This window comes from Homo sapiens, chromosome X, assembly GCF_000001405.40.
Source record: "Homo sapiens chromosome X, GRCh38.p14 Primary Assembly".
Classification (NCBI taxonomy): Eukaryota; Metazoa; Chordata; class Mammalia; order Primates; family Hominidae; genus Homo; species Homo sapiens.
The window spans coordinates 102,727,136-102,748,434 of NC_000023.11; the positions used below are offsets into that span (position 1 = coordinate 102,727,136).

Genomic DNA, 21,299 nt, shown 5'->3' on the forward strand with positions numbered 1-21,299 from the left:
AATAAGGAAATTAATTATCCAATGATTGTAAGTACTGACGTAGGGCAGCCTTGATGGTTGTTTAATTCAGCGAAGGACTCAGCTTTTTTCCGTCTCTTTCTTCTGCCATTCACAATATCAACTTCCGTCCTAAGGCTGATAGCTTGATGGCTACAACAATTCCAGGAGGTAAGCAACTTCCTGAGGAAGAAGAAAAGACAATCTTTTCTGATGACTTTGTCTTATGAATGAGGACACTTTCCTCAGAAGTCCATCTGTAACCTTCCCCTAATGTCACATTGAGTGGAATTTGATCAATGCCTCTTCCTAAACAAGAGAGTACCAAGGGGATAGATTATCCGTAGACCAAAGAGACTCACTCTTGGAAATGGAATTAGCCTCTCTGTGACATGTGACTAAAAGGAGGAGAAAGTCAGTAACCTGCAGTGGCAACTATGCAAAAATGGCATCCTTTTAGTAAAGGGTTATGGTAAGCAACACAGAATATACAAAGCACTGAGGCTACAGCACAAAGAGCACAGTGACACTGACTTAGCAATTATGACCTTTAAAAACCATGTAGTTCTCATCTATTCTTTCTTGCTTTCTCCAGCCCACTCCATAATAGGAATAGATCAGAAATTTTAAAAGAACTAGAAAGATCTGATATACACATGTTGTGCAGGATATCAAATAGTTTTCTCAGTATACACAATAATCCTGTAAAGTAGTTAATGCCAGCTCCCTTTTAAGGATGAAGAAACTGGGTTATAAAGACGTTAAGTACCTTTGCTAAAGTTACACAAATAGTGACAAAGTCTGTATTCAGACTTTGGACTGTCTGGCTCTGAAATCTGGGTACTCCCAACTCTTCTGTACAAACTCCCTTTAGAATGTACTCCCAGGGCTCAGAAACTAGTTACTCTAGTCTAAGCAAGCACTTAACAATCATTAGGCAGTTAATGTAAACTATAGATTCTAATAGTATCATGCACTGCCTCTTGATGGTGGTGGTGGTGGTAGTGACATAGACAACTTTTCTCTCCTAGCATTAAGTTACAGTTCCTCAGACTTCATTACCAATAATATATATATTTTTCAATTTTTAAAGATTTTTTGTAGAAACAAGGTATAACTGCATTGCCCAGGCCAGTCTTGAATTCCTGCACTCAAGTGACCCTCCCACCTTGGCCTCCCAAAGTGCTGGAATCACAGGCATGAGCCATTGTGCATGGCCATTACCAGGAATTTTGATTCAGGAGGTCAAAAGTCTAATTTGCATTGCACATTACAAATTTTTGGGCTGAGATGTCAGGTTCAGGGAGCCCCATAAATTTCCTGTACCTGGGAGTGAAAAGAGCTAATATTTATGGAGCAGCTGGGTTTTCCAGGGCAACCTAATTCCCAGATGTGATGTTCAGCAGAAAAGAAGCAGACAAAAGCAATGTGCACTGCTTTTTTTTTTTTTTTTTTTTTTTTTTAAATAGAGAGGGGGTCTTGCTATGTTGCCTAGGCTGCTCTTGAGCTCCTGGACTTAAGCGATCCTCCCACCTTGGACTCCCAAAGTGCTGAGATTAAAGGTGTGAGCCACCACACCCAGCCCATTTTAAATTTTTTATTTTTTATTTTTCACTGCTCTTTAGCTTCCCTGTTAAAACCCATAGCCAGACTTCCAGTTTCAGTTCCAACATGTAAGAACTTGTAAGTCATTGCTCCTGTACTTACAACCAGAAAAAAATCTGAACAAACAGAATCAACAACATTTCTTAGATTCTTCAAAGAACTGAGGCATAGGACAGTTGACTACCCCAAATTCTGAAGGCAAATCCAGAGAGTCACAGCCTATTTCTTCTTTCATAGAACAGAAACTGCTAGAGACATAAATAGGTAAGAGCACTTAAATGTAATTTTGATGAATTGCTGGAGACTGAGTGTGGAATAATATGAGAGTGAGAAACCCCTGAGGATCTGCAGTCAGGGAGGTCCCCACACTTTTGTGGGCATTACTTCCAAGAAACCCACCATATTCTTGCAGTGAAGGGCCTCATGGCCCCTGCAGTGGGAAGGGAACTGTACTTTTGTGAAATACACCCAGAGCCTTCTTCATTTTTTAAAAAAAAAGCCTATTCTGTGGTGGAAAAGACTTTATCAGAGCCTTATCTCAGCTGAGGGAAAGGCGTTTCTCCTATTTCAGCCCCCTTTAGGTTTCTAGTCTCATGTAAGGGAGAGAAAGGCGCTAAAATAAAACTCTTATGAAAATCAAAGCCCAGGGACACAGGCCCACAAAAGACTGAAATTTAATCATAATATTATAGAACACTTCCTCTCCTCTGCACTTCACCACCATGCTAACAAGGCTTTATTATAATAATAGTGGATAACAGTGAATAACAGTTAAAAGAGCTGCAAAATGTAAACTCTCCCTGAGAAGAATATTTAGGGAAATGCTAGAAATCAAAAATACTGTAACAGAGCCCAGGCACAGTGGCTCACGCCTGTAATCCCAACACTTTGGGAGGCTGAGGTGGGTAGATCACCTGAGGTCAGGAGTTCAAGATCAGCCTGGCCAACATGGAGAAACCCCATCTCTACTAAAAGTACAAAAATTAGCTGGGCGTGGTGGCGGGTGCCTGTAATCCCAGCTACTCAGGAGGCTGAGGCAGGAGAATCGCTTGAACCCGGGAGGTGGAGGTTGCAGTGAGCCGAAATTGTGCCACTGCACTCCAGCAAATGAAGAATGCCTTTGATGGGATTATCAGTAGACTGGACACAGTTGAGGAAAGACTCAGCAAGCTTGAGTAGCAGTCCCCAATCTTTTTTGGCACCAGGGGCAGATTTCGTGGAAGACAATTTTTCCATAGACTGGGGGGCGAATGGCATGGTTTCAGGACAATTGAAGTGCATTACATGTATTATGTACTTTATTTCTATTATTATTACATTGTAATAGATAATGAAATAATTATACAATTCACCATAATGTAGAATCACTGGGAGCCCGGAGATTGTTTTTGTAAAGCTAGATGGTCCCATCTTGGGGTGATGGGAGGCAGTGACAGATCATCAGGCATTAGATTCTCATAAGGAGCATGCAACCTAGATCCTTCACATGTGCAGTTCACAATACGGTTTGTGCTCTTATGAGAATCTAATGCCACTGCTGATCTTCCAGAAGGCGGAGCTCAGGCGGCAATGAAAGTGATGGGGAGTGGCTGTATATACAGATGAAGATTTACTGGCTAGCCCGCCACTCACCTCCTGCTGTGTGACCCAGTTCCTAACAGGCCATGGACGGGTCCAGGTCCGTGGCCTAGGGGCTGGGGACTCCTGAGCTTGAAGATAGGTCAATAGTGTAAACTAAAAAGTATGTAAGACATGTCTCAATTGATTTAGAAGTTTATTTTGCCAAGGTGAAGACATTCCCAGAAGAAAAGAGCATGGAATCACAGAAACAGTCTGTGGTCTGTGCCTTTATCCAAAGATAATTTTGAGGGCTTCAATATTTAAATGGAAACAGCAGGCTAGAGGGGAAGAGGGAGGGTACAGTAATCCACATGATGCAAGGGAAAAGGAGCAGAAACAGGAATAGTCAATTCTGTATTCCTCTGGCTCACAGTAAATCAGCACTTTACATAAGGTAAGGAAAATGTGTAATATCTACCTGTGGAGATATTTAACCTTTTATCTGTAGCTATCTGCTTAGGAACAAAAAAAAAAAGAAAGGTATTTTATTGCATGACTCAGCTTTCAGCTTAATATTTTCCTTTTGGCATAGTGAATCAGGGTCCTGGGTTTTTATTTTCTTTTCACAATAGAAACTTCCAAATTGAAATGAAAAAAAGAACTGAACATTGAAGCACTGTGGGATGATTTTGAAAGGTATAACATATGCATAGTTGGAATACTAGAAAGAAAACAGTGAATTTGGAGCAGAAGAAATATTTCAAATAATAACAGCTGAGAATTTTCCAAAATCAATGACAAACATCCAACCACAGATCCAGGAATTTTAGAAAATACTAAGCAGGATAAATACCAAAAAAGTCTACACCTAAGTGTTACCACTGGAAGGTATCCAAGTTACCAACAGTGAATCCATACAGGTCTGCAGCAAACTCAATTCTTGCCTGCTCAGAAGAAAGAATTCGACCAAGGGGTACAAAGCAGAAAAAGAGACCGAGGCAAATTTCAGAGCAGGAGTGGAAGTTTATTTAAAAAGGCTTCAGGGGCCGGGCCCAGTGGCTCACGCCTGTAATCCCAGCACTTTGGGAGGCCGAGGCAGGCAGATCACAAGGTCAGGGGTTTGAGACCAGCCTGACCAACATGGTGAAACCCTGTCTCTACTAAAATAAAAAAATAAAAAAACCCAGCTGGGTGTGGTGGCACATGCCTGCAATCCTAGCTACTCAGGAGGCTGAGGCAGGATAATCACTTGAACCCGGGAAGCGGAGGTTGCAGTGAGCTGAGATCACGCCACTCCAGCCTGGGCAACAGAGCGAGACTCCAACTCAAAAAAAAAAGAAAAAAAAAGGCTTCAGAACAGGAGAGAAAGGGGAGTACGCTTGGAAGAGACCCAAGCGTGCAACTTGAAGGACAAGCACACTGTTTAACTTTGATCCTAGGATTTTATAGGCTGGTTCCTTTCCCGTGATTCCTCCGTTAGTGTGGGCTGCCCGCATGCAAGGTGCCCTCCTTACCCTTGGGAAGTGAGCACGCACAGTGTGTTTAGAAAGTTGCATGCATGCCCATCTGAGGCTTTCTTCCCTTTTCCAGTGGAGTGCCCCCAGAAGGTCATACTCTGTCATCCTGTCTCTTAATGCATATGCCTGGGAAATTGCTTCTCCCTGGTATCCGCATTCAATTAACACTTTAGTGAAATAGGTGTGGACTATCAGGAAATGGCCTGTCCTTCATGCCAGCTGCCAACTATCACTTTTAAAGAGGCAATGGGATAATTGCGGAACCATCACCTGACATTCCTAGTGGGTGGGGGGAGAGCCCTCTCTTGCCCTGCTCATGCCTGTCTACCTGTAACATTCCCCCCTCAAGAGCCCAAGACCCCAAATCTTTGGGGAAAAATGGACAAAAGTCAGTCTTCTGTAACTGCTTTCCACTGACAAAGGGACAATGGTGGTTCAGTGGGTCTTGGACTCTTGCTAGCTGACAGGGCAGGAACGTCATTCCGTGGATTGGTGAAAGCAGTATCTAGCCAGATCCAAGGGAGTCAGGGGCAGGATTTTGCCACCTTCCTGTCCCACTGATGATCAGTCTAGGGGTCCCCTGTAGAAGGGTGTCTCTTGAATATTGAGAGGATGATATCCCTCACTGAAGATCATCTGGAGCTTGATGACCCATCCTTTTTGTTTCTTCTGAGCTGCATCAAGAGATCACTGGTTGGTTTACAGGAATAAGCAGGGTTAGTCCAAAATGCAGACAAAAACTTAAAAACAACTGATGAGACTAGATTCTAATAGTAGGTATATAATAATTTTTGAAAAATATTTTTCTCTCTCCAGTCCTCGTGATTTTTTTAAAAATTATGATAGGACTGATTTGTTTGGAAAGTAAACTTTAGTCTTATTATACTTAGCCTGATTATTTGCATAAAGCCCAGCAAGAATAATTTTTTTTCACATAGGCTTTTAAAATTTGCTTTGATGGAACTCTGTTCCATAAGTAATCTCAGATAAGACTTTTTAAAACTGAGCTCACCCATGGGTTTGTACCTTCAAATACCTATGAGTTGAGTAAATTTCTCTTTTTTTGAGGTTCCAAAATAACTTGGGGTTCCTAGGCCTGTCAGAAAATGACATTCTTTACATACCACAGGTCAGGAACCCTGTACAGGGACTGTGTAGACAAGGTATGAGGCCAGTTTTCCCAAAGGGCTTTTATTGGCTCTATAAGTCAAGCTTGATTCCTTAAATGAAGACATGTCATTCCAGTCAAAGACTTGGTAAAACAACCAGTTTCTCCCATTGCCCTGTTGCAAAAGAAAGCATTCTTATTGCACTTATGCAAATAACTATATTGCCATAAGTTAAGAATACTCACAAATTGGCTGGGTGCAGTGGCTCACGCCTGTAATCCCGGCACTTTGGGAGGCCAAGGCAGGAGCATCACCTAAGGTCAGGAGTTTGAGACCAGCCTGACCAACATGGTGAAACCCCGTCTCTACTAAAAATACAAAAAAAATTAGCCGGGCATGGTGGCGGGCGCCTGTAATCCCAGCTACTCGGGAAGCTGAGACAGGAGAATTGCTTGAACTTGGGAGGCAGAGGTTGCAGTGAGCCGAGATCACACCACTGCACTCCAGCCTGGGCAACAAAGAGCGAAACTCCATCTCAAAAAAAAAAAAAAAAGCTCACAAATTGTTTCCAAATTCTGGAAAAATCAGGTAGCGAGAAAGGAATACGCTCCAAATTTTCTTCACAGGAGTATACTTTACTCAATTGTTAAAAGCTGTAAATAACTCAAAAGAAAAGTTTTCTTGAATCTGAAAAACAAAGGATCAGCAACATTTTAAGCAAAATGTTAAAAAAAAAAAAGATGACTTCAGTCTTTTATTAGTTTTGTCCATTCAGTTAACCCCTGTTCTGCTTGATATTCATGAACATTTCAGCTCTCCATGAAAGTCCTGAAACGTATTTTTTCCTTTATTTTAATGTCACTTTCACTCGCATCCGTGTGAAGAGACCACCAAACAGGCTTTGTGTGAGCAACAAGGCTGTTTATTTCACCTAGGTGCAGGCGGGCTGAGTCCGAAAAGAGAGTCAGCGAAGGGAGATAGGGGTGGAGCCGTTTTATAGGATTTGGGTAGGTAAAGGAAAATTACAGTCAAAGGGGGTTGTTCTCTGACTGGCAGGGGCGGGGGTTACAAGGTGCTCAGTGGGGGAACTTTTGAGCCAGGATGAGCCAGGAGAAGGAATTTCATAAGATAATGTCATCAGTTAAGGCAGGGACCGGCCATTTTCACTTCTTTTGTGGTGCAATGTCATCAGTTAAGGCAAGAACAGGCCATTTTCACTTCTTTTGTGATTCTTCAGTTACTTCAGGCCATCTGGATGTATACGTGCAGGTCACAGGGGATATGATGGCTTAGCTTGGGCTCAGAGGCCTGACAGTCACAATCTCCAAAGTTACCAGAAACTTGCATTCAGGAACACCTGTCAGTTCTATAGCTGATTATAAAACACCATTTAAAGAGGATCAAAACAAGACAGGCCAGGCGCGGTGGCTCACGCCTGAAATCCCAGCACTTTGGGAGGCCAAGGCAGGCGGATCAAAAGGTCAGGAGTTTGAGACCAGCCTGGCCAATATGGCGAAACCCCGTCTCTACTAAAAACACAAAAATTAGCCAGGCATGGTGGCAGACGCCTGTAGTCCCAGCTACTCAGGAGGCTGAGGAAGCAGAATCAGTAGAACCTGAGAGGCAGAGGTTGCAGTGAGCCGAGATTGGGCTACTGCACTCCAGCCTGGGCAACAGAGCGAGACTCTGTCTCAAAAAAATAATAATAATAATAAAAAAATAACAAGACAATTGTCTGTGGATGATGAAAAGTCCTAGGGCAGCCACAGTTAAAGACACATTGACAAGGAAATTTCTTACCTCTGTGGCACACAATAATTTTACATAACAGTTCTAATTATTAATAATACCCACTAAGTTATATCAGAGTCTCATAATTTTGGAACACATATTAATAACATATTTATGCAAATACAGCCCAAAGAAAGCCAAATACAATTTCATATTTGACAATGCTTCCTTATACCAAATAAGCCAACTATGTCATTTTTGGACTTTAGAGGACCTAATATCTAAAACATTAATTAGGTCAGAAATAGACATGATTTATAATTTAATTTTGGAAAGTTTGTCAAATATCAAAGATTTTAAACATTTGATATTATAAAATAAAATCCCAGGTCACCATAAGTCATTCACTTAGCCAACCTATAGTTTATTTGAAAGGCAAACAAAAATCTTTCATTATTTTTTAATATTACACGAAAATCTTGTTCAAGAGAGAAAGCTAAATTTCACCTTTGCATTAGTGTCAAACCGAATTCTTAATAAAATGTTATAGACAAATCTATCTAATTTTAATGTCCGACCATAAGGTAAGATTCTCATAAACCTTTTATAACACTTTACAACTTCTTTTGTTAAAGAGCAGATCAGTGCTCCAAGAAAACTCTGTTGTGCTTTTATTCCAATGTTCAACTTACGGAAAAACTGTATAATACCCCTTTAACTTTAGCCAATATGTTTACACACAGAATCTCTTTTTTTTTTTTTTTTTTTGAGACGACGTCTTGCTCTCTTGCCCAGGCTGGAGTGCAGTGGCACCATCTCAGCTCACTGCAAGCTCCGCCTCCTGGGTTCAAGCAATTCTCTGCCTCAGCCTCCCCAGTAGCTGGGACTACAGGCACCCGCCACCACACCTGGCTAATTTTTTTTTTTGTATTTTTAGTAGAGACAGGGTTTCACCGTGTTAGCCAGGATGGTCTCGATCTCCTGACCTTGTGATCCGCCTGCCTCGGCCTCCCAAAGTGCTGGGATTACAGGCGCGAGCCACCGCGCCCGGCTGAATCTCTTTTGCAATATATTTTTCACAAACTTTCCACAACTTGTTCAAGCCCTCAGATGTTTCCTATCTAACTTAAAATAATCCTTTAACCCTCTAAACTAGGCAAGAAATCCACATTCCCATTCCTTCTTGTAATCTTTTACCATATGCACATTTTACTTTCCTTGCACACCTTGCATGTAAAACTGTTTCTTTAGTAGTTTCAAATACATGTTACACTGTTGACTCTTAGCAACTTTTGCTGAAAAACCTGGTTAGTAAGCTATTTTAATTATGTACTAGATTTGGAGCCTAGGACACCAGACAGAAGTGCAGATAAGGTCTCTTTCCAGCATAGCTAGGGATATGGCTAACTCCACATGTCGTTAGGCCTTATCTAGTGGTAAAGCAGGCAAGTCGAACAATTTTCAAAAGCCAAAGAAGCAGTTTATGACCTTAAAGCATTTAGCAAACCTAATATCTGACTTGCATAATTTAGACCAAATGTCTAAATTTTTGAAGATATTTTTATTTTACCAATAATCCTAAAACTGTCTTTATTTCCCAAAGATTATTTAGGTCACATGAACTAAAAGGCATTACAGTTTAAATTTTCTGACAATATTTAAGCATTTATTTTTTAACACCAATTAATTAGAGCTCTTTTATATAAACATCATCACACACAACACATATGAATACATAGAAGATTCAGTAGTTGTAAGATTTTTCATTTGCCACTTTTTGTTTCTTAATTGGATTATTGGCTTCAGGGTGGAGTCTTTGGAAGAACAGCGTGGAGAAAGCATACAGTTTCCAGAGCCTAATAAGCAGATACAGCTGGAAGGCAAAAATGGATCCCCAAAATTAAGGGACCATCGTTATAGTGGATCCTGAATCCCCAAAAGAGAAATGCTACGGAGCAAGACAGTACAATGATTTTACCATACATTTCATTGCAAAGTGATCCAATGCCAATCAGCCCATTCCCCATGGGAATCTTATCTCTCAGTGGGGGCTGGGGATGTTGCCGTACCTTCCAGGTGGCCAAGAGCATGCTTCTCTGATCCAAATGTGCAAGTATTCCTCCATAACTGCCATTAGCCATCCATATATTTCCTACCTGGTTATTACCAAAGTTCTTTCATAATGTGAAGTAATTTCTGAAACTCCCAAAAGTGAAAAACAGGTAACGCAATGCAAACAGAACAGAGCCTTAGATTTTAAGAGGGATCTATCCACTTTCAATTCCTGGGGTTCCATGAGGAAACCAGAGGTTTTTCCCAAAACGGGGTCTGTGGCACCTCCTCTTTTTTTCCCAAGGAGTCCCAAGCTGTTAGAAATTATCTTAGGTCCTTTCATGTGTGCATCAAGAGTGGCAAGAAGACAAAATAAGAAAAGCAATTCAGTTGACTGAGAACAAAAAACCTTTTTTTCTTCAGAAAAATAAGATTCAAGAAGAGAAAAAAACAAAGGCCTTTTAAATGTATGTATAGCTTGGATATCTGCTTTTAACTAAGCTGACTTTTAACCATAGTGTTCCTAAGAAAATCCTTTTAAATCTCTTATTACTTGACTTTAGCTTAGCCAAATAGCCAATACTTGTGGTTTTTGAACTTTACCAAAAGTAACCTCACAGGTGAAACCAATAAGCCTTAACTAAGGTTATGACTTATCCATGAGTGTATGACGTATGTTCAAAGAGGTGGTAAGCAGTTTTTACAAGATTTAGAGTCTACAAAGGTAGCTTCGACAAAGGAAAATTCAAGAAGGGAAGTCAGAAGTCATTCATGGAGGGGCAGAGAATACATTGATTTCTACCATTCCTACTACTGGTTTGCATAGAAAGAGAGAAGCCAGAAGTCTGGTAAGAATTCCTACCAGTCTACCAGCATGCCTGGCTGCTGGCTTCTGGGTTCCCTTTCCCTGAGCAGCCCTAGCGACCCTGCTTGCCACACCCTGGGGACCAAGCCACAACACCAAGGAAAAATCATCTTTTTTCCATTTCATGGAAACTTTGAACTAGACAAAAGTCATTTTCTGTTAGAAAGTTAAGGTTTGTACTGCATGTTGCCATGTGTGTCCTGAGAAGGGGGAGTAGATAAAGAAGTTGTCTACATACTGTAGAAGTTATCCCCTCTCAGGAGATTTCTCAGTTAGATTTTTGCTAGGGCTTGTCTGAATAAGTGTGGGCTATTTTAGACATTACCAGGGACCGGTGGGTGAATAGCAATTGGTCCCTTAAGTAATATAAAGGGGTGTGAATCTTTTGTTTTGAGGGAGGGGATGCCATTTGCCCCACCTAACAGGCTTAGCCCTGTTCTCTTTATTCTACTCTGGGTTATAAAAGACATAAGAGGCTAATCTGAGGACCTCCTGCACAGGGGTTCCAAGTCTGACTCTTGTAATTGCTTCCCAGTTTCTTTTTAAGCCAAGCAGTTTAAGGTTTGAGGAAATTAAAATTTTCCCAGTTTGGGGGAATGCATCCAAGGGGCAAGTCCTGTGGTATGGAGACACAATTTCCCATCTGCCATTTGCGAAGAGAGAACAGAGGAGGAAAAAGAGGAAAAGGGAAAAAGGTGTCCTCTCTTTCTTCCTATTATCCCAAATGGGGCATCCCCCATCATCCTGGGTTCTAGACTTAACCATTCTTTACCATGTACCCATGGTCCCATCTCATTACAATTACCCACTTGAGAACAGAGAACAGAAGAGATACTGGAGTGAACAGTGAGCCCCTGTCCATCCCTGGGGTTCCAGAATTAACTGGTCCTTACTGTGTACCTGCCTAGCCTTTCATCTTTTTTCCAATGGTAATCCGTTAGGCTAGGACCACCCTTCTTGGGTTCCAGACTTAACCAGTCTTTACTCTGTATCCATGGTCCCATCTCATCACGATTACCCACTGGAGAATAGAGGAGATACTGGAGTGAACCGTGGGCCCCTGTCCATTCCTGGGGTTCTGGAATTAATTGGTTCTTACTGTGTAACCCCCTAGTGTTTCATTTCTGTTCCAATGGTAATCTGTCAGCCTGGGCCACCCTTCATCTCTGTCCTATGGGTCTCTTATGTGAACCCTGAAAATTTGAGATAGGCCTCAGTTAATTTAGAAAGTTTATTTTGCCAAGGTTGAGGACACACGCCAGTGACACAGCCTCAGGAAGTCCTAAGGACATGTACCCAAGGTGGTTGGGGCACAGCTTGGTTTTATACATTTTAGGGAGAGATGAGATATCAATTAATATATGTAAGAAGTACATTGGTTCTGTCCAGAATGGTGGGGGCAACTGGAAGCAGGGAGGGGGCTTCCAGGTCACAGGTAGGTGAGAGACAAATGGTTGCATTCTTTTGAGTTTCTCATAAGCTTTTCCAAAGGAGGCAATCAGAATAAGCTTCTATCAGAGTGAGCAGAGGGATGACTTTGAATAGAATGGGAGGCAGATTTGCCCAGCTTGAGTGTTCCCTTTAGCTAGGATTTTGAGGGCACAAGATATTTTCCTTTCACACTTTTATCAGTGGCCTTTAACCAGCCTATATCCTTGTCTCCATGGCCTTATAGTGACTCTCACTCAGAGGATTTTAGTAATAAAATAATTATCTTTTTTCTTAGAAGCCTGTTTCTCTGTTAACTGCCACAGCGGCTGGACTTCCCTCCCCACTCCCTTAGAATATGACCTTGAAGGTCTTGATGCACATTGAGAAGGGCATGGAAGTAATTCGAGAAATGGCGGCTATAGGAGGAAGTGGAAAGAAGCAAGAGGAATACTCATGGAAAGCCTTCATGTGCTCACAAAAACAGGAGCCCTTGTATTCAAGAGGGTAATATTTATTTGCCCTCTGAACATAAAGCCGTAACCTCTGAGGACTTGGGGCCTGGGGTAAGAATTTCTCCTCCTCCCAAAGTGGTGGTGGCTTAAAAAGCAAGAGGGTGGGATTCTTGAAGGACCAGAGTGAAGCACTATGCAGGCAGACAAGCCGCTTTTAAAAGCCATCAGAAAACTTAGCGCTGGGGCATAATAGGAACAAAATGCACATGATGAGTTGTAAGAAACCGGCAGCACTGGAGTTCCAATTAGTGTTCTGGCCACATGCCAGCAGACAGGGGAAAGATGGAATGTCACCCGAGATAGTAAAAACAAATATAAACCTCGGGGGATATCCACAAGGGAGCCTGTGCCTTTGCTGCTGCAGAAATGCAGAGAGCCATGGGCGCATGAATAATAGGGAGTGTGTGTTTTAGAAGTCATGTGGCATGCAAAGTGAAAGCAAAGAAGCAGACTTTCACCCAAGGCAGAAGGTCTGGTGGGCGTGAAAAGCCATTTTAGAACACACACACAGAAAACAGAAGAATGGGTGGTATACATTTTTGGAAAAGAGCCAATTTTAGTTGGAAAGAAAAAGCAGAGGAAATCCCAGACATTGCATGGTTTTTAGGCCTCAGCCTCACCACTCTCATAAGCCTCCTATCTAGGAGGGCCATTTAATGCTTCTGACCTACTTGGTGTGGACCCTAAGGTCCTTCCCACCCCCGCAAGCCACCCATTAGGGTGAGCTGAGAAATCAACCACAAAAAGCAGAGTCACTTATGGAGAGAGAGAGAGACTGACAGAGAGAGAGAGATCGATTGATTGATTGATTGGGAGAATGTAAAGGAAGAGAACAAGAGTCTCTGCCTGGTAATCCAGGGAATTCTTCCGAATCTTAACCAAGACCAACAAGTGTTACTTCCACTAGTCTGCAAGAACCACAGTGTTATAGAGCTTGGGGCCCAAGTCCCTTAAAATACCTGTAAAGCCTTCCCCAGATTGTGAAGAGTATAATAAATTCATAACTTTTCAATGTCCAAAAATCAACCAACATCAACAAGCATCAAGAGCAGCCAGGGAAGCATAACCTCACCAGACAAACTAAATAAGGCACCAGGGACCAATCTTGGAAAAACAGAGATGTGTGACCTTTCAGACAGAGAAGTTGAAATAGCTGTTTTGAGGAAACTTAATGAAATTCAGGATACCACAGAGAAGGAATTCAAAATTCTATCATAAATTTAACAAAGACATTGAAAATAATTAAAAAGAATCAGGCAGAAATTTTGGAGCTGCATACTAAAGAATGCATTAATAGCAGAATTGATCACAAGAAAAAGAAAGAGAAGAAAAGAGAAAGGAAGGAAAGAAAGAAGAAAGAAAAGAAAAGAAAAAGAAAAGAAGAAAAGAAAAGAAAAAACTGCACACGGGGGTCAGATGCCTCCAACCAAAGAAGGCAAGGCATAGATATCTCTTAACATCTGAGTCACATGGCCAATATGTTACCGGTGGCAAATAACCGAGTCTCATGGTACCTAATATGTTAAGGGTAACAAGTGTCCGAGTTACCATTGGTGAATCTGTATGGGTCTGCAGCAACCTCAATTCTTGCCTCCTCAGAAGAAAGAATTTGACTGAGGGGCATAAGGCAGAAAAAGAGACCAAGGCAAGTTTCAGAGCAAGAGTGGAAGTTTATTTTAAAAGGCTTTAGAACAGGATAGAAATGAAAGCATGCTTGAAAGAGACCCAAGTGGGCGACTTGAAGGACAAGTGCACTGTTTAATCTCGATCCTAGGACTTTATAGGCTGGCCCTTTTCCCATGATGCTTCCGTTAGTGTGGGCTGCCTGCATGCAAGGTGCCCTCCTTCTCCTTAGGAAGTGAGCATGCACAGTGTATTTAGAAAGTTATATGCATGCCCATCTGAGGCTTTCTTTCCTTTTCCAGTGGAGTGCTCCCAGAAGGTCATACTCTGCTATTTTGTCTCTTAATGCATATGCCTGGGAAGTTGCTTCACCCTCTTGCCTGCATTCAATTAACACTTTAGTGCAATAGGTGTGGGCCATTAGGAAATGGCCTCTCCCTGGCACCAACTGCCAATTTTTCAATTTTAGAGAGGCAATGCAATAATTGCTAAATCATCTTCTGACAGTCCTAGTGGGTGGGGGGAGAGCCCTCTTCTGCCCCAATCATGCCTGTCTAACTCCCTGTAACATAGGCATATCATATGCAAACTGAAGAAAGACAAAGAGAAAATACTGAAAAACAAAACAAAACAAAACCCCTTACTTACAGAGGAACAAGGATAAGAATTACAGTGCAGAAACCATGCAAGTAAAGAAGAGAGTGGGCTGTAATATTTAAAATATTGAAAGAAATACTACCAACCTAGACCTCTGTGATTAGTAAAATTATCTTTAAACATGAAGGAGAAATAATTTCTCAGACAAACAAGAACTGAGGATATTCATCACCAGCAGACCTGCCCTGCAAGAGATGTTAAAAAGAATTTCTTCAGGGAAAAGGTACAATAATATAGGTCAGAAATTTATAGAAAGAAAGGGCATTGGAGAAGGAATAAATGAAGGCATGCTTGCTATTGCCCTCATCATTCTTGTCCATCTCAGTGTGCTAATGAAACCACCTTTGCAAAAATTATAGCTGATGAAATTATGACAGTGAAAGAGATCAGACCTTACCAACTCCATCTTGCTTCTAAACTTTAAGCTGTCCTTGTTCATTCCTGGGTGTAGGCCAAACTAACCTTGGGAAGGAATTTAGTTTATAGTTTAACTCTGAAACAAAATTGATAGTAGCCCTTTCCCAGTCGGGGGCGGGGTCGGGGGGGACCTTCTTGCCTGGGGACCAGTCTGCCTTTGTAGGCCTAACAAATTAGCTACAAGATTAAAAATTATGGTTTAGGGGCCACACAGCCTCCGGCTGCAAGAGTCTGAACCTCCCCAAATTGCTCCTGGGAATAACATCACTGTTGAAAAATCTAAGGTCAGTACTTGAGATACTTTGCAGACCCTGCCTTCCTTGTTGGAAGCAAGTAAAACTCCAAAAAAATAAAGGAGTTGTACAGCAAACTAAACTTTAGTTCTCAACCAAATTTTGGGAGATCAGGGATTCTCTGGAGGGGGGCTTCCAGGCCTCTGCAAGTTGTCCTATTGGTTTGAGCCATAAAGATAGCTCAAGCTGGTACCAAGCACCCATAGGAGATTCGTGAAGGTCAGGGGCACCTCCACTCAGAATCCCTTTGTGGTTACCAAAATATGAACCCCAAATATCTGAGACAAGTCTCAGTCAATTGAGGAAGTTTATTTTCTCAAGGTTAAGGATGCTTCTGTGACACAGCCTCAAGAGGTCTTGACAACATGTGCCCATTGTGGTCGGGGCACAGCTTGGTTTTGTAAATTTTAGGGAGAGATGAGACATCAATTAATACATGTAAGATGCACATTGGTTCTGTCCAGAAAGGCAGGACAACTCCAAGAGGGGAAGGGGCTTCCAGGTCAAAGAAAGATAAGAGATAAATGGTTGTATTCTTTTGAGTTTCTGATTAGCCTCTCCAAAGGAGGCAATCACATATGCATTTATCTCAGTGAGCAGAGGGGTGACTTTGAGCTCTGTCTGTCCTTTGTCCACAGGGAATTTCCTTGTGGAAAAATGGTGAGGGATGTATGTAGCTTTTTTTTTTTTAATCTTATTAACTATCTTTTTTAGGAATAGAATGGGAGGCAGATTTGCCCTAAGCAGTTCCCAGCTTTACTTTTCTCTTTGGCTTAGCGATTTTAGGATCCTGAGATTTATTTTCCTTTCACAATAGATATATACTTATAATGCACACTTTCCATAAACCATATGTATTATTGTACAACTTGCATTTTCACTTTGTATTTTGAGTTATTTCCATTTTGGTATATATAGAGCTACTTCTTTTTGATATCATAGTAGGGTAGAATAGTACTTTATAAATTTATCATACTTAGTTTAATCCTTTCCCTATTGATGGTCATTTATGTAACCGCCCGATGGGTTCTTCCTGCCAGCTGCACAAACAAAATCAATTCAAGGAGACCATGGCATTGCAGTAAAGAAAGAGGTTAATTGATGTGGTGCTGGCCACGCCAAATGGGAGATGGAGTCCTGTCTTAACTCAATCTCCTGAAGAATTTGGGGGCTAGGGTTTTTCAAAGGTAGTTTGGGGGAAATCATGGGGGTGGCTAGGCAATGGGTACTTGGTGCTGATTGGTTGGGGGTGCAATCATAGGGGTGTGGGAAATGGTCCTCCTATGTGCTGAGTCACTTCTGGATGGGGCCTCAGGAGCAGTTGGTGGGTCGAGGTGGAGCCAGACATGCAAGAAATCTGAAAAGATACCTCAAAAGGCCAATCTTAGGTTCTACAATAGTGATGTTATCTGCAGGAATAATTGGGGACGTTGCATATGTTGTAACCTCCAGAATAACGGCTGTCAATCCTTTATGTCTACACCTTAGCAGGACTCAGCCTGCTCCATCCTCCTAGCCTGGTGGTTTCATTATTAGCTTTACAAAGGCATTTGGTTAAGTTTTGGGGAATGGCTATTATCATTTAAACTGTAAAGTAAATGTCTCCCAAAGTTAGCTTATAAGCCCAGGAATAATTAAGGGCAGCTTGAAGGCCAAAGGCAAGACAGGTGTTAGCCAGATCAGATCTCCTTCACTGCCATAATTTTCTCATTGTTATAATTTTTGCAAAGGTGGTTTCATTTACATTATTTACAATTAATTGCTATTAAAAGAAATTATGCATTTTAATATTCTTGCATATATTTACTTAAAGCATTATACTAGAGAAATAAAACTCTCACATCAGAATCTGCAGGCCTATGTCCTTCGTATTTAAGACAATGTGTTAAAGTTTTAATACTATTAAGCTTAAAGGACAAAGCCAATAAGAACACACAAATGTTAAGAATCATAACCTAGAGTGATTCATCAAAAAGTAGTGTGACATGCAATTGAAACTCCTGTTTCTCTTAGTATGACTAGTATCTCCTAAGTCACATATATTGGTGTGTCTGATTGAGGCATCCACAAAGGGAATACAAATGACCAGGAAAATGATCATATTTTTCTGCCTCTTTGTGCTCTATATTTTAAAATGCAGGTATTGGTACTTTTAGGAATTGCTTCACAATCTCTGTCTTCCTCTCTTGCTCCTTCCAACACTGAAAAACCATACAGAAAGCAGCTGTGGGTGGCATACTCTGGGCTAAGCCCTGGGGTTACAGGCAGCAAAGACACACCTATGAATTAGCATTGATCTGCAAACCACAGAGGGTACCATGGAATTGTCATGATTCAGTAGCCCCTCACCTCCTTCAACCCTTGACTGACTATACCGTCTACAATGTGCTGAGAATACAGTGGGGAACAATACCAAAAGGGTACTTTCATTCAGGAAACTTCCAGTCTAACAAGTCAAACTCCCCATCGCTTGGAAGGGAGAGTAAAAAAATATATATATATTCAGAAGAAAAAAGCACATGCATGCATTAGGCAGGGTGCAAGGCTGGGAGAAAAGGAGGAGTTGAGGAGCGCAGCTGGAATCTGGGATCTGCCTCGAGGAAGTGCGCGAATAGTGGTCCCCTCTCCTCCCAGAACAGTGGAGAGGCGCCAAGACCATCCCTACCTGGTGCCATCAAAGAGAGAGGACTGTTACGACCTCCTGCGAGTCCTGACAGGGAAAGGCCCTCTTTTGGGGTCAACTGTGGGGACGGCGCAATGCCAACCTGAGCCACCATTTGAAATGAGAAAAAGCGGCGTGGCAGAAAGAAATGAGTCTGGTACAGACCAGTGGTTGGTTTCCTAGGGTTAGAGGTCTAGGTCTACCTTCTGTTAGAAGAGGGGCAGTGGTGAGGCCTTGATGGGAGCCCCCTGCCCCAGAATTCACTTAAGAGCAGGTGTACCTTCCTCCCCTGCGTGGCTCCATGAAGCTGGGAAAGAAACGCACAAGAGGACCACCCTAGAGGCCCAGGCTTGTTTGGCCTGAAATCGCCTCACCCCTCCCAGACTGCACTGCTGACACCCCCTCTCCCATTAGCTTCCAGGAAGGAGAGTGAGAGGGCTGGGGAGAGGGAAGGGGCAGACACCCAGCAGTCCCTGGTTGGGGAGTTGGGGCGGGGGTGCAGACACACCAAGGGGCGGTTTGGTATCCATCCGCTGCTCCCTCCAGCGCGGCTCTTCCCAACCTCCTGATCCTGTCCCCTGCCTGGGTCCCCAGCCGCCCGCCCGTCCCTATATTATAGCAACGCCAGAAATGTGGTGGTGGTGGTCGCCACGTTAGGGTCCGCGGGGGTCCTCCTGAGGCAGCCTGGTGCCAACCCGCAGGCCCAGGCTGGGGCTCGTCATGGCCCCGCCCACCTCTGGGTCGGAACTAAGGTGGGCCTGAGAGGGGGGCGTCGAGCACTTTCGCGCCGTATCCCTCCGCCCCCCTTCCCGACACCCTCGCGGAGAGAGCGGTTCTTGCAGCATCCTGCGCAGCCCCTGCCCAGTTTGGTGCAGAGGCGTGGGGGGCGGGACGCGTCTTTGCCATTCTGATAGCGGGGAAAGCGGTGAGAATCGAAGTGAGGAGCCGCCAGAGGAGAGCTGAGGAGAGGAGGGGGAGGTCGACGACCTGGGCCCTGGGCCTCTGAAGGCAAGTGGGGGTGCGTGAGCTTGGGGTGGTCCGCCAGGGTGGACCGGCTGGCAGCCTGCCCCGCCGACCCTGACATCCTGGCAAGGAGGAGACGATCCGGTCGGAGCCGGTCGCCGGAGAGAGGTGCGCAGTGCTCGAGACCCCTGGCGATGGGGAGGCGGTGACCGGTGCAGGCCGAGCCAGGCCAAGGGCTGAGGGGCTGGCTTGAGAGGCACCGTCAGATCGTCTGGAGGAGAACCGCGCTGACCGCCTCCAAGCCAGCTTTGCAGGCGCCGGCGCCCCGCCCTCGACGGTGTCTGTGCCCGGAAAGGGCTGTGGGGGAGCTCCTGCGGGAGAAATGGCGGAGCGGGAGCCATTGTGGGGGGCTCCCGGGAAGGCCGGGGGGAGCCGGCGTCCCAGCTCTGTGCCCAGCCCACGAGAGGTGGGCCGCGTTCGCTACTCGGGGCCCTGATTCCGGAAAGGGGCCTGTGGGACCCCGTGTCTTGGGTGCTGTCCCTTCCCACAGGCTCCAGGTGGTTGTTAAAGTCTCCTGTCTGCGTGATAGGTCTGTTGGGTTCTCCAAAAGTGGAACTTTGAGTGGGTGAATTATGAAGACACTAAAATGAAATGTTTAACCGCCTTTTATAATACCGCACTGTTTTATTGCCTTACATATTTAGATCCCCACATCCAGTTTTGTGCAAGCAAATAGGGTGTGGACTTAGTCGAATTTCACAACAGTGGTCCATGTAAATAACAGGGTAGTATTTTTCCACCTTTCTTGTTCAGGATCTGTTTTCTCAACATGCTGATCCACTTTAAGTAATGTAATGATGTGTGAGAATGTGGGTTCCGAGTAGAGGGGTAATCTTTTTGAAGGGTCAATTTAGAACATTTGAAGTCAATCTGCTTCTTCAGTTTATGGTTCTGGAAACCAAAACTCCATCTCCAGCCACTCCTCACAGACCCTCTCATTTTGGTGCAGAAATAGTCCCACAGAAGAATTCATGGCATTTCTGATGGTGGATATCTGAGGAGCTATGAGAGTTGGGAGACTTTATTTACTTAGTTTCTGATTCTCAAAAAGGAGGTGTTAGAATCCGAATTCTGGGAATCTGTCCATTAACCTGCTATTTTTCTACCATTGTTAACATAGTCTCTTGGGGTTATTTTTTGCTAGTTGCTCCGCCTTCTTTTTGTAGGGCGTGACTCTTCTTTGGTGGGAAGGATAGCATCTCCTGAGAACTCCTGCTGTATAAGCAGGCTGACATAGGTGGTGAATAAAGTAGGATCTAGGTATGCATGGGGAAGGGGAAGGACATGCACAGATGGTATTAAAATAACAGTCTCCATTATGTTCCCTGCCTGCCTTGTAAGTACAATTGCCTATGTTCCACTACCTATTTCTGCACCTCATTTTTTTTGGTTCAGGAAAGGAGCTGTAACTTCTATTGGGAAAATGACTGACTTCAAAGTTGGCAGGAGGTGTAATCAGGCTGCAGGTCTTGGGGTGATTAGGGAATCATTGAGGAAGAGCAGACAGGTGGGAGACATTTAACATAGCCTTGAATATTCAAAAGCATATGTTATAATCCTTGTTATAGGCATTAGATCATCTTAGTCTCTTCTGTTTTCTTTCCTCTGCCTTCCTTTCTATCCTTAGGTCTGTTTCTTTCTAGGTTCCTGTAGAGATCTGTATGTAGCTGTTCACTTGGAAGTTAATTAAGAAAGAACAAAAACTATTCATTTGGATTCAAGGTAGGTTTATGTGTGAGCACCCCCGTTGATTGGGGTTATGGAAAGGCTGTTGCCAAGTGGGTTAGACCAGATCATATCTTGGTGCCACTGTCTTCCATCTTTCTAGTCACCTCTGACCTCACATTTGTGTACAAGTGATGGGGTGGGGTGAGCCAGGATTATGCCTATGAGGTAATTGGTAGATATTGGGGCAGGAAATGGGAAGATAAGCCACAAGGAGTACTAGGAGGCCAGAAGTGTTATATAACCAAAGCCCTAGATTTGGAAAGGCAGAAATTGGGTTTAGAGATTAGAGTGTAGGTCTGTCAACCAAATACTCAGAACTCCAATCCCATCTGTATTTTTGTCCATAGGCCTGCCCATGAGTTAACTATAGGGCATATCAACACTGCAAACAGGGAAGGAGGAAAAATTGCACTAGATCAGTGCAGGTTGGTGTGAGTGCTGCCTGAATACACCTATGAGGTCTAGTGGTATATATTTTAGTGGTGGACCTACTAGCATGGGTCCAAAGAGACTGGGC

General features: G+C 43.3%; 2 protein-coding genes across 13 annotated transcripts in view, besides 2 other annotated features; both read left to right on the forward strand.

The window, feature by feature from the left end:
* ARMCX5-GPRASP2 (ARMCX5-GPRASP2 readthrough) overlaps window positions 1–21,299 on the forward strand; it is a 308,717-nt gene that overhangs the window by 127,788 nt on the left and 159,630 nt on the right. For 2 of the 5 annotated variants that reach the window (NM_001350268.2, NM_001350269.2), the window contains one exon: window positions 20,682–20,776. The exons of the other annotated variants lie outside the window; for them this stretch is intronic. The gene's annotated coding sequence lies outside the window, so the exon portion shown is untranslated. The remainder of the gene's footprint in view (window positions 1–20,681; window positions 20,777–21,299) is intronic. 5 annotated transcript variants of the gene reach the window in all.
* Window positions 1–21,299, forward strand: part of GPRASP3 (G protein-coupled receptor associated sorting protein family member 3) — a 32,798-nt gene that overhangs the window by 6,393 nt on the left and 5,106 nt on the right. For 3 of the 8 annotated variants that reach the window (NM_001142524.2, NM_001142525.2, NM_001142526.2), the window contains exon 3: window positions 20,682–20,776. The exons of 1 other annotated variant lie outside the window; for it this stretch is intronic. The gene's annotated coding sequence lies outside the window, so the exon portion shown is untranslated. Of the gene's footprint in view, window positions 1–18,843; window positions 19,040–20,681; window positions 20,777–21,299 lie in introns of those variants that run through there. 4 more of the 8 variants (NM_001142527.2, NM_001142528.2, NM_001142529.1 and 1 more) reach the window with 3 other exon arrangements.
* Window positions 6,708–7,243: an enhancer, noted in NCBI's record as "NANOG-H3K27ac hESC enhancer chrX:101988771-101989306 (GRCh37/hg19 assembly coordinates)". NCBI's record gives its function as "activates a minimal SCP1, AML or CMV promoter by ChIP-STARR-seq in naive H9 embryonic stem cells {active_cell/tissue: H9 hESC(naive)}" and the evidence as "EXISTENCE:reporter gene assay evidence [ECO:0000049][PMID:30033119]".
* Window positions 19,283–19,332: a silencer, noted in NCBI's record as "silent region_20919". NCBI's record gives its function as "represses an Ori minimal core promoter by ATAC-STARR-seq in GM12878 lymphoblastoid cells {active_cell/tissue: GM12878}" and the evidence as "EXISTENCE:reporter gene assay evidence [ECO:0000049][PMID:35858748]".